Here is a 13,613-nt window from a genome sequence, read left to right as displayed (position 1 = left end):
AAAGTGTTCCCTTTTCACCACATTGCCCCCAACATCTACTTTTTTTTTATGATGGCCATTCTTGCAGGAGTAAGGTGGTATTGCATTATAGTTTAGATTTGCATTTTCCTGATCATTAGTGATGTTGAGACTCTACCTCTTAATGAAGAAATAGCAAAGAACTTGTAATGTTTTACTTTACACCTATCAAAAATCTTGTTATTTTGTATTATAATAACCTGTTTACTTGAGCATCTATACAGTTATACTATAATCACTTTGGGGGTAGGATTAGTGCTCAGTCATTGCTCTATCCTAATCCTTAGGAGTCAATCAATATTTGTTCAACAAATAAGTAAATGAATGCAAGAGTGGTGAATGAGTAAGTGAGTGAAAGAAGAGAGTAAGATTATCTTAAAGAAGCTTAATTGTGAAGAGTTTTTTAAAAATTGTATTCATCAAGATGAAATATATTTGAGCATGTTTACATACAGAAAGTAAAGACCTAATAGAGAGTGCAGTTGAGATTACGAAAAGGGAAGAGATGGTGGTTAGAACCAAGTTCCTTATGAGATCAAAAGGACATGATCCATAGCAAGGTGGAGGGATTGGTCTTAAGAAAGGAGAGAAACATCTTCAGTAACACACCAAGTAAAGAGGAAAGGCTGTGTAAGATAAAAAGAAGCCTGTGAACAGAGAGGGGAGCATTGGAAAATTATGCCTAGGGCCTGATTGCCTCAAACTAAGTAAAATAGTGGAAAAAATGTAGAGCTGCATTATAGCTCTAAGTGCCCTGTATTAATCTGTTCTCACACTGCTATAAAGAAATACCCGAGACGGGTAATTTCTAAAGAAGAGAGATTTAATTGGCTCATGGTTGCACAGGCTGTACAGGAAGTGTGGCATCATGTGCTTCTGAGGAGGCCTCAGGGAGCTTTCCCTCCTGGCGGAAGGCAAAGTGAGGGCAGGCATCTTGCAAGGCAGAAGCAAGAGACAGGGTGAGCGAGGTTCACACACTTTTAAACAACCAGATCTCATGATAACTCTCACAGAACAGCACCAAAGGGATGGTGCCTGACCATTCATGAAGGATGCACCCCCTAATCACCTCCCTCCAGGCCCCACCTCCAACACTGGGGACCACAGTTGAACATGTGAGGACAGAGATCCAAACCATATCATGCCCTAAATTTCATTCAGTTATTTACTCATTCAATATGGATACATGCCAACTATGGGCCAAGTGCTATAGCAGTGTACTACAGGCTAGTGATTTCTACCAATGGTGAAGTGAGCACATCAATTTCTGAACTTTTCAAAGGACTTCTCATTCTTGATTATAAAAATTTTAAAACTCACTGATTATTAAGTTCACAGTATTCAGAAGCAAATGGATTTGGGGAAAAGTATTAATGCACCTTGCTACTATTCACCATTCATCCTCCCTATGGCTCCCATACATTTCCACAAAGCCACAGAGAAATTTGCAGTTGAGAGTAGATTCAGAAAGAGCATAGGTGGTGAGGCAGGAGAGTTAATGAATTTGATTAACAGCCAATGACACTTTGTAAGTAAAATATATACATAAACTAAATTCTTCCTTTTAGAACCCGGTGTTAGAAAAAACTTTTCATCCCTTAATGAATGTATTTTTAAAGTTATTAATTAATTTTTCTTTCATTTTCAATCATCAGTTATATCATTGCTTAAGTTAGAATATGATTACAATAATTATCTCATTGTGAGTACTAATACATATATGCCTCTCCTCTTTCTACTTTATTTATGGTATTTAAAAAAAGATTTGCTGTCTTGTTTGTTTGGATTAAGTGTAGAAGTTATTCAAAATTGCATTGGAAGTGGGTAGGATATACACTAATTATTTAAAGAAATGCTGAACAAAAGTAGCAGAATGAGCTGGCCACTAAGATCATCACTCTATCAATCCTGAAGCAATGCTTGTCTTAATATAACTCCATGGACCCGAACATATAAGAGGAATGGATACAATAGGACACTCAAATTGTTGGTATAAGTCATGTAAGAGGTTAATACATGAGAGATCCCAAGTGTAGTGAAAGAAGAAATGCTTCCAGAATTCTAGAAAACACTTAAAGCAGTTCAATAGGAGTTACTCCGTTTATTATACCATATTTATATATAAATGTTGGTCTAATCCTTTAGAGTTTATAATTCCCAAATCAATTACAGGTAGAGCATATTGTTTGAGGCTAAGGCCTCAGATTAACTCTAAAAAGAAATTCAATTACATAAATTCATAGACTTGTTTATTCAATGACTGTATATTAACTACTATGAATTGGGTACTCTACTGGGAACTAGAGCTACATCAGGAGACAAAAGGACATGATCTTGACCTCATGGAGCTTAGAAACGAGTAAAGAAGCCAGATATTTGGTAAAAATGAATAGCATATGTAATGGGCTAAATAGTGGTCCCTAAAATATGTTCATATCCTAATCCCCAGAAGGTGTGACTATTACCTTACATGGCAAAAGATATGATTAAGTTAAAGACTCTTGAGAGGAGGCACTTATCCTGACTTATCTGGGTTGACCTGAAATTCAATCACATCCATTATTATAAGAGAGGGGCAGAGGAAGATTACACAGACAAGCATAGGAGAAGGTGACATGAAAACGGAGGCAGCAATTGGAGTGACACAGCCATTAGCCACAGGACACAAAGGAATGCCTGCAACCACCAGCAACTGGAAGGAGTAAAGAACGGACTCTCCCACAAAATCTCCAGAGGGACTGTGGCCTTGCCAACTCATTGATTACAGAACTGCGAGAGAATAAATTCTTGTTTTAAGCCACTGAGGTTGTAGTAATTTGTTATAGCAGCGCTAGGAAACTAACACAGCACAAAAACTGCAATATAATTATAATTTTTGACAAATGTCGAAAATGAAAAGTACAGAATGATAACAGTAGAACATGGAAAACTACATTGTATTGAGTATAATAAGGAGAGGGACAAGGGAAACAATATAGACTCAGTTTATGGAATATCTGGTTAATAACCATAGTGCTAAACACAGGCACACACTTGTATGCATGCATTGCCAGAAAAATGCCCTACCAAGCCCACATTCCAAAACATAAAATTATGTGTGTGTGTGTGTGTGTGTGTGTGTGTGTGTGTGTGTAGATAAATAGGCAATTTAAAACTTTGTGGAAATATATATTTATACTATAAACAGTAGTTTAAAATTAATTAAAATTAAAAGGTTTTGATAACAATGCTGATTATATTATTCTAATTCTAGATTAGAATTTCTCATAATGTTATCATGGATTTAGTTTAATATTTGATCTCCCCAAAAGGTTTCCTAAAATTCAAACAGGACATGAAATTTTATATCTTCAAAAAAATGTGTAGATAACTTTGTCAATACCACCTGGTGATGGGGCACTTTGTGAACCCCAGAATATGACTGAGGGTATCCAGAACACCAAGTGCAGTAGGAGCTACACAAATTCAAGATTTGAGGGTCGTGAGTGGCATGAAATTAAAAGGGACAACCGAGGTCATCAGGATAGATGCAGAAATGGAAAAAACTACACAATTATTTCTTCTCAAAAGTGGAGAACACCTCTTTAGGTAGAGCCCTGGGTTGAAGGATCTGAGACTGATTAGCAAAACTGGAAAACATTCTCAGAGGCTTCAATTTGGAAGTGACTGAAAAAAGGTATTTATTATTTGGATATGTAATGAAATCAGTGGTTTTTTCCTAGATTAAGCTCTTAAGAAATTCAGAAATATCCATAAAATATTCCCATCCAAAAGACAGGGCTCTAGCCTAAGGAAAGATGACAGTAAACAGCAGCCTAACTGAGCAGGATCAGAACACTGGGGACTAAAAAAGAGAGAAGGCTTCCTCAGAGGGGTAGAAGCCCAGAGAACACAGATCCTAGAAAGTCTCAAAGTCACATCGCAGAGAATATAGTGTTAGGGACAAACAGCACAGGCTGAGGCAGAACAATTATCTGAATCAGACGTAATGTTAAGAGACTAAGAAGTGGCTACAGAGAGTCATGAATTGAGTCTTTCAAGCTAATAAGAGAGGAGAGAATCCTCAATATGAAGCTGTGAAAACCACCCTGACCTCTTACCCCTCCCAGAGGAACCTTCTCATAGTAGCCCAGGAAAACCCATTCCATTCAAACATGAAAAAGAAAAAGGGATATGATCGAACACTTTATGAAGTTATTAAAAGGCATAAAAAGTTGAAAATCTCATAATGTTTCACAAGGCAATAAGAACATACCAACAATAAGTATGACTTTAAAGCAGATGAAAACCTCTTACCTATTTTTTAATGAGCTAAAATAAAGAAAATAATTGAATCTTTAAAAATCAGCAAAAATCAGAAAGAGAATAGTTCAAAAATGACATCTCTAGACAACAGGAATAAGGTAAAGGATAATTACTGAAATTTTCAAGAGTATTAAAAATATATTTCAGATTAAGATCAAATTACAAGAAATACAAAACAAACACAAACACAAGAGGAAGTAAATACAATCTATAGCAACGAAAGGAAATAAATTACAGAAAATAGATAAGTAAAAGAAAATTCACATAGATATTTCCCTTTTTTTTTGCAAGATGACAGACTAGAAGCTTTTAATATGCCTCAGCCACTTGAAAATAGCAAGATAGTGCATAAAGATCAACTCTCTGAGCTTTAATTCAGAAAACGGGAATCTACCAGAATCCTGAAGGCTATCACAGATCCCAGGGAGGCAAACAGCCCCGTGACAGCATTCAGCTGATAAAAAAGATTGTGGTGCAGCAGGGCTTTCTCTGTTTGATGCCTAGGCACATCTCCAAGGAATCCAAGCACCCACTTACCCAGAATAGCAGCCTGAGCTTCCCCACCCTTCCTGTGCAGAGATTGTGGTAAAGCAGGGCCTCTCCACTTCATGCCCAGGCAGATCTCCAGGCACTCAGAACACCCACTCACCTGAAACAGAAGCCTGAGCCAGCTCACCCCTCCTGTGCAGAGACCATGGTGAAACATGGCCCTCTCTTCTCCACATCCAGGCATATTTTCCAGCAGTCAGAGCATCTGTTACCAGCCTGAGCTGCCCTACCCTTCCTGGGCAGGGATTGTGGTGTAGCAGGGCCATCTGCACAGCCAGGCAGGTCTCCAGGCACCTGAAGCACCCACTCTCCTGGATTAGGGGTTTAGGCCACCCCCATACCCATGCAGATAACTTGGAGCTGAGGAGGTTTCTCAGCTCCACATCTGGGCACACCTCTGAGTACTTGGTGGTCACCCACTTGATTCTTCCTCAGCACTGGTGCACATGTCTGCCATTGGGGGACCTATAAATAGGTCTGCCCAGTCTGGACCTGCTGATGATGTTCCCATGTTTTCCCAAGGCTGAGCAGGGATCTCAGACTACTGTGCACTCCACAGATCAGCCCATTGCCTGAGGTAATGAGAGCTTCTCCTAGTAAACAAGAGTCAAGTATGTACACAGACACATTGGCCACAGCTGGTTCTTACCCATAAGTGCTATGTATTGCCTTGTAGATTGAACCACACATCCCAATATAAAATCTGCTGAAAGAAATGCATAGAGTTATAGAAGTAAAGCCAAACAACCCTACCCAACATTCTGTACAATCACACACCCCAAGGAGGGAGGACTAGGGGAATAAAAGGGAAAAAAAAATCATGTTATAGGGAAAGAAAGAAAAAGAAAAAAATTCTACTCACATGAAAATAATTACAAAAAATTAGCAATACCAGCATCTCCGGATGAGAAGAAACCACCACAAGAATTCTGACAACATGAAAAATCTGAATGTAGTGACACCACCAAAGGATTACACTAGCTCTTCAGCAATGTTTCCTAACCAAAATAGAAACTCATAAATGACAGATAAAGAATTAAAAGCATGGATTGCAAGGAAGCTCAATGAGATGCAAGACAAGTTGAAAATCAACATGAAGAAACTTCTAAAGCAATCCAGGAAATGAAGGAAAAGATGAGTGTGTTAAAAGGAACAAATCAGAGCTTCTGGAATTGAAAAACTCACTTAAGGAATTTCAAAATACAACTGAAAGTTTTAATCAATAGTCTGGACCAAGAAGAAGAAAAAATTTCCGAGCTAGAAGACTAATCTTTCAAACTAAGCAAGTCAGACAAAAAAAATTTTTTTTTTTTTTTTTTTTGAGACGGAGTCTCGCTCTGTCGCCCAGGCTGGAGTGCAGTGGCAGGATCTCGGCTCACTGCAAGCTCCGCCTCCCGGGTTCATGCCATTCTCCTGCCTCAGCCTCCCAAGTAGCTGGGACTACAGGCGCCCGCCACTACGCCCGGCTAATTTTTTGTATTTTTAGTAGAGATGGGGTTTCACCGTTTTAGCCGGGATGGTCTCAATCTCCTGACCTCGTGATCCGCCCGCCTCGGCCTCCCAAAGTGCTGGGATTACAGGCGTGAGCCACCGCGCCCGGCCCAAAAAAAATTTTTAACAAATAGAAATATAAACAAGTCTTCAAGAAATATGGGATCATGTAAAGTGACCAAATCTATAAATTATTGGCATTCTTAACTGACAAGAAGAAAAAGTAAACAACCTGGAAAACATATTTGAGGAAATAATTCAAGAAAACTTGCCTAATCTTGCTAGAGAGGTAGACATCCAGATACAAGAAATCCAGAAAAGACTTGTACATACAAGACACTATACAAGATGAGATACTGTACAAGATGAACATCACCAGGACATATAGCCACCAAGGTCAACAATAAAGAAAAAATCTTAAAGGCAGCTAGAGAAAAAGGTTAGATGATGTACAAAGGGAACTCCTTCAGCCTAACAGCAGGCTTCTCAGCAGAAAGCTTACAAGCCAGGAGAAACTGGAGACCTATTTTCAGCATTATATGATTATTATTATCATCATCATCATCATCATTATCATTATTTTTGAGACTTGGTTTTACTCTGTTGCCTCAGATGGAATAGAGTGGAACGATCACATCTCTCTGCAGCCTCAACCTCCCAGTATCAAGTGAACCTCCCACCTCAGCCTCCTGAGCAGCTGGGACAACAGCCACATGCCACCACACGCAGCTAATTTTTATTATTACTTGTAGAGACAAGGTCTCACTATATTGCCCAGGGTGGTCTTGAACTCCTGGAGGCTCAAGCAATCCTCCCACCTCAAGCTGCCAAAGTATTGGGATTGGAAGGATGAGCCACTGAACTCAGCAATTTTCAGCATTCTTAAAGAAAAGATAATTCCAAGCAAGAATTTCTATCTTGCCAACTAAGCTCCATAAGCAAAGGAGAAAAAAGATTTTTTTTTCTGACAAGCAAGCACTAAGGGGACTTGTTACCACTAGACTAGCCTTACAAGAGATTCTTAAGTGAATTCTAAACATGAAAATGAAAGAACAGTATCTGCTACCACAAAATCACACTTAAGTACATAGCTCACAGACCCTATAAAGCAACTAGACAATGAAGACTATAAAGCATCCAACTAACAACTTCACAAGAGGATCAAAGCCTCACATATCAATGTTAACCTTGAATTTAAATGATCTAAATGCCCCACTTAAAAGGTATAGAGCTGAAAGTTGGGTAAAAAAATAAGACCCTTCTAGATGGGTCTCTTGAAGAAACCCATCTCACACATAACAACACCCATCGGATCAAAGTAAAGTGTTGGAGAAAAACAAATCACACAAATATTTAGAAAACAAAATAGAGCAAAAGTTTCTGTTTTTATATCAGAAATAACAGACTTTAAACCAACAACAGCAAAAAATGACAAAGAAGGGCATTACATAACAACAAAGGGTTCAATTCAAGTTAAGTCAAGAAGAGTTAACTACTTTAAATATATATACCCAACATTGGAACACCAGATTCTTAAAGCAACTACTTCTAGACCTACAGAAAGACTTAGACACCAAGAAAATAATAGTGCAGAACTTCAACCCCTCACTGATGCTCTTAGACAGATCAATTGAGGCAGACAACTAACAAAGAACTTCTGGACCTAAATTTGACACTTGACCATTGGATCTAATAAACATCTACAGAATGTTTCACCCATTAAACACATTTGTCTCAATAGTACACAGAACATACTCTAAAACTGACCACATGCTCAACCATAAAGCAAGTCTCAATAAATTTAAAAAAAGTGAAATCATACCAACCATATTCTCAGAATACAGTGGAATAAATATTAAAATCAATATCAAGAAGATCCCTCAAAACCACAAAATTACATAGGAATTTAACAAATTGCTCATAAATCACTTTTGGATAAACAATGAAATTAAGTCAGACATCAAATTATTCTTTGAAACAAATGAAAACAGAGGCAAAACATATCAAAATCTCTGGGATGCAGCAAAAGCAGTGTTAAGAGGAAAGTTTATAGGGCTAACACACCAACCTCAAAAAATTAGAAAAATTTCAAATTAATGATTTAACATCACGCCTAGAGTAACTAGAAAACACAAGAACAAATTGACCCCAAAGCTAGCACACACACACACACAAAATAACTAAAATCAGAGCAGAACTGAATGAAATTCAGATCCAAAAATCCATACAAAGAATTGACAAAACCCAAGTTAATTCCTGAAAAGGATAAACAAGGCTGATAGACTTCCAGCTAGATTAATAAAAGAGAAAAAGAGAGAAGGTCCAAATAAGCACAATCAAAAATGACAAAGGTGACATTACAACTAATACCACAAAAATACAAAAGATCCTCAGAGACTATTATGAACACATCTGTGCACACAAACTAGAAAATCTAGAGGAAATGGATAAATTTCTGGAAACACACATCTCAAGATTGAATCAGGAAGAAATTGAAACCTTGAAGCAACTGATATTAAGTTCTGAAGTTTAATCATTAATAAAAAACCTACAAACACAAAAAAGCCTCAAACAAAATGGACTCACAGCCGAATTCTACCACGTGTACAAAGAAGAACTGATACCAATTCAAGTGAAACTATTCTAAAAAATTGAGGAAGAGAGACTCTTCACTATCTCATTCAATGAAGCCAACATCACCCTGATACCAAAACCTGGAAAAGACACAACAACAAAAAAAAGAAAACTACAGGCCAATACCTCTGGTGAACATAGACAAAAATATCCTCTACACAATACTAGCAAACTGAATCCTGCAGCACATAAAAAAGTTAATTCACCACAATTAAGTAGGCTTCATGCCTGGTATGCAAGTTTGGTTCAACATACACAAATCAATAAATGTGACTCACCACAAAAGCAGAATTGAAACCCGAAACCATATCATCATCTTAACAGACACAGAAAAAGCCTCCAATAAAATCCAGCATCCCTTCATGACAAGAACTGTCAACAAAATAGGCATCAAAGGAACATATCTCAAAATAGTAAGAGTCATCTATGACAAACCCACAGCCAACATTATATTGAAGGGGCAAAAGCTGGAAGCATTCCCCTTGAGAACTGTTAACAAGACAAGTATATCTCTTCTTACCACTCCTGTTCAACATAGTACTGGAAGTCCTTGCCAGAGCAATTAACTGAAAGAAATGAAGAGCATTCTAATAGAAAAAGAAGCCAAGCTACCTCTTTTCACTGATGATATGACTTTATACCTAGAAAACCATAAAGACTAAGCCAAAGGGCTCCTGGAACTGACAGACAACTTCAGTAAAGTTTCAGGATACAAAATCAATGTACAAAACTGAGTAGCATTTCTGTACACCAATAATGCTCAAGCTGAGAGTATAATCAAGAATGCAATGCAATTTACAATAGCCACAGACAAAATGTAAAATGCCTAGGAATGTATCTAACCAAGGAGGTGAAAGATTTCTGCAAGGAGAAAAACAAAACACTGCAAACATATCATAGATGGAAAACACCGAAAAAAATCATAGTGACACGAACAAATGGAAAACTAGTCCAGGCTCATGAAATGGAAGACTCAATATTATTAAAATGGCCATACTGGCCAAAGCAATCTAGAGATTCAACACTATTTCTATCAAACTACAAATTTCAGTTTTCACAGAGTTAGAAAAACATCCTAAAATTTATATGGAATAAAAAGAAAGAGCCAAAATAGCAAAAGCAATCCAAGCAAAAACAACAAAACTGGAGGCATCACATTACTTAAGTTCAAACTATACTATAAGGCTATACAGTAACCAAAATAACACAATAGTGGTACAAAAACAAACCCACAGACCAACGGAAAATAACAAAGAACCCTGAAATAAAGCTGCATTTATACAGCCATCTGATCTTCAACAAAGTTGACAAAAATAAACAATGGGGAAAAGATTCCCTATTCAATAAATTGTACAGTGATAGCTGGCTAACCATATGCAGAAGAATAAAACTGGACCCCTACCTTTCACCATATACAAAAATAAGATGAATTAAAGATTTAAATGTAAGACCTCAAATCATAAGAATCCTAGAAGAAAATCTAGTAAACACTATTCTGGACATTGGTCTCAGGAAAAAATTTATGACTAAGTCCTCAAAAGCCATTGCAACAAAATCAAAATTGAAAGTGTGACCTAATTAAACTAAAGAGCTTCTGCATAACAGAAGAAATTATCAATATAGTAAACAGACAACCTACAGAATGGGAGAAAATATTTGCAAACTATGCACCCAACAAAAGTCTAATATCCAGAATCTATAAGGAACTTAAACAACACAACAAGACAAAAACAACCCCATTAAAAAGTAAGCAAATGGCATGAACAGACACTTCTCAAAAAAGACGAAGAAGTGGACAAGAAACATGAAAAAATGCTCAGTATCACTAATTATCAAAGAAATGCAAATTAAAACCACAATGAGATACCATCTTACACCAATCAGAATGGCTATTATTAAAAAGTCAAAAATTGACAGATGCTGGTGATGCTGTGGAGAAGAGGGAACACATATGCTGTTGGTGGGGATATAAATTAGTTCAGCCACTGTGAAAAGCAGTTTGGGGGTTTCTCAATAACTTAAAATGGAACCACCATTTGACCCAACAACTCCATTATGGAGTATATATCCAAAAGAAAATCTATTATTCTACCACAAAAACATATGCACTTGTATCTTCATTCCAAGACTATTCACAATAGCAAAGACAAGGAATCAATCTAGATACCTATCAAAAATCGATTTGATAAGGAAAATATGGTACATATACATTGTGGAATACCACACAGCCATTAAAAAATAATAAAATCATGTCCTTTGCAGCAACATGGGTGGAACTGGAGGCCATTATCCTAAGCTAATTGTACAGGAATAGAAAACTGAATACCATATGTTCTCTCTTATAAATAGGAGCTAAATATTTGGTTCTCATGGACATAAAGATGGCAACAGTAGACACTGAGGACTAATAGAGGTCGAAAGTAGTGAAGGTGGCAAGGGTTGAAAACCTAACTGTTGGAAACTATGCTCACTATCAGGGTGATGGGATCATTTGTATCCCCAACCTCAGCATCATACTCATATAACAAACCTGCACATGTTCTCCAGAATCTAAAATAAAATTGGAAACTATTAAATAAATAAATAAAATTGTTATTTTCTATGGGAAAAAAGAAACTAAAAGAAACAAAAGTCTTCTGGAGAAGGTGATAAAGGACCAAGGCAAGGGAGAGCTGATACACATTTTATTGGAGTCCCCAGGAAAGAAAACTGAAGCAATGAAACAATATTTAAAACTATATTTCAAGGAAATGTTGCTGTCATAAAAGACTTGAAAAAAAAGCCATATATATGTGCATTTTAATATTTTGAGAGGGCATTCTCTAATTTGAAAAGTTGACTTAAAATGTTCAATACTGACAAATATTTTAATACAATAATTGGGCTATAAAATATAAGGAAAATATTCTTTGAACATAACAAAAAGTCCATTCTGTATGTCAAAGAAATGCAAACAAGAATCATATTATCATCAGCATTCTTTAAGTAGTATTTTAACTGAGGCAACATTCTCATGGAGAAATTTGAGTGAAGGATTTTATCTTTAGCTAAACTATTCTTCAAGTATAAAGGCCACAGGCAACCAGTTATGAACATGCAGGAATCTATCACAGACCACATTTCAGGAAACTACAAAATTGTCATGAAACCTTCAGCATAAATTTAGAGGTCAATATTAAATGTAGGTAACTGAAGAACTAAAATTAAAAGATGGAAGACAAAGCTATAAGTGCTACGTGCTCTGACAATGTAGAAATAATTCAACTATTAAATTCAGTTTAGCTTAAAGCCGCCTCCTTACATATTTTAAATTTAGCCTAAAGGTTTCTCTCTACATAATGAACTGAAACCTAACCGGATGGTAAATAGATTGTAACCTACTCTTTTACCAATCACCAAGTTTCAGCCAATCAAACATGGTCCAACTGCTGAAAGCAGGTTCAAATAAGGCAAACACCAAGTTGTCACCAATCCAACTGTTTCTGTATTTCACTTCTATTTTGTCTACATCACTCTCTTTTTTCTGTCTATAAACCCTTTCTAACCATAGACAAGCACCAGAGTTGCTCTAAACCCATTCTAATTGAGGGCCAGTAGGGAGGGCGGGTGTGTGTGCCTTATTTGCAAATTGTTCTTTACTCAGTTAAATTTTGCTAAATTTAATTTGTCGAAAGTGTTTCTTTTAACACAACTAACTGAAAATGGGAGAATAGAAAGACAGTAGGTATAAAATAGAATAAGGTCTTTGATTGCCTCTGGTTATTATGTGAGAATAAAATGATATAACTTGAAACTGAAAAAGCAAGTGACAGATGTTTATTTCCGATCATAAGTATAAAACCCTGAGCAACAATTAGTAGACAGAGGGGAGGGAGAGGAAAATAAATAATTAATAACTAATTTTACTACAGCTTATATTAGCAAACTAACAGATAATATCTAAATATCTAAGTAAAGAGATAGCTAAAGGTGTTATATTATAAAGGTATTCATTTAGTGATAATCACTAGAACAAAAATATACACTGTATTAGTCTGTTCGCATGCTGCTAATAAAGACATACCCAAGACTGGGTAATTTATTAAGGAAAGAGGTTGAATTGACTCACAGTTCTGCATGGCTGGGGAGTCCTCACAATCATGGCAGAAGGTGAATGAGGAGCAAAGTCACGCCTTATGTGGCAGCAGGCAAGAGAGCATGTTTAGGGGAACTTGCCTTTATAAAACCATCAGATCTCATAAGACTTATTCACCATCATGAGAACAGCATGGGAAAGATCTGCCCCCATGATTTAATTACCTTCCACCAGGTCCCTCTTATGACATGTGAGAATTATAGGAGCTACAATTCAAGATGAGATTTGGGTGGGGACAGACCCAAACCGTATCATATATCTTCCTAAATACTAGAGAGTGAGAAAATAAAGTAGCTCATCTAGCGAAAAACTTACTGGGTATATATAAAATATGCATTTATATAATACACAAAGTATAAAGCAATATGACAAACCAGAAACAAATAAATCATATTCATACATATAAATGGATTTCAATCATCTATGCAGAAATAATGTTGTTAGACAAGTTAAAGAAATCCAACTCAGTGCTATATACAGA

The 13,613-nt window shown here is 36.6% G+C and overlaps 2 annotated features.

The window, feature by feature from the left end:
• Positions 5,070–5,119: an enhancer, noted in NCBI's record as "active region_3754". NCBI's record gives its function as "activates an Ori minimal core promoter by ATAC-STARR-seq in GM12878 lymphoblastoid cells {active_cell/tissue: GM12878}" and the evidence as "EXISTENCE:reporter gene assay evidence [ECO:0000049][PMID:35858748]".
• Positions 8,997–9,146: an enhancer, noted in NCBI's record as "active region_3753". NCBI's record gives its function as "activates an Ori minimal core promoter by ATAC-STARR-seq in GM12878 lymphoblastoid cells {active_cell/tissue: GM12878}" and the evidence as "EXISTENCE:reporter gene assay evidence [ECO:0000049][PMID:35858748]".

Source organism: Homo sapiens, chromosome 10, assembly GCF_000001405.40.
Source record: "Homo sapiens chromosome 10, GRCh38.p14 Primary Assembly".
In the NCBI taxonomy this organism is placed as follows: domain Eukaryota; kingdom Metazoa; phylum Chordata; class Mammalia; order Primates; family Hominidae; genus Homo; species Homo sapiens.
This window is presented reverse-complemented; position numbering and strand designations above follow the sequence as displayed.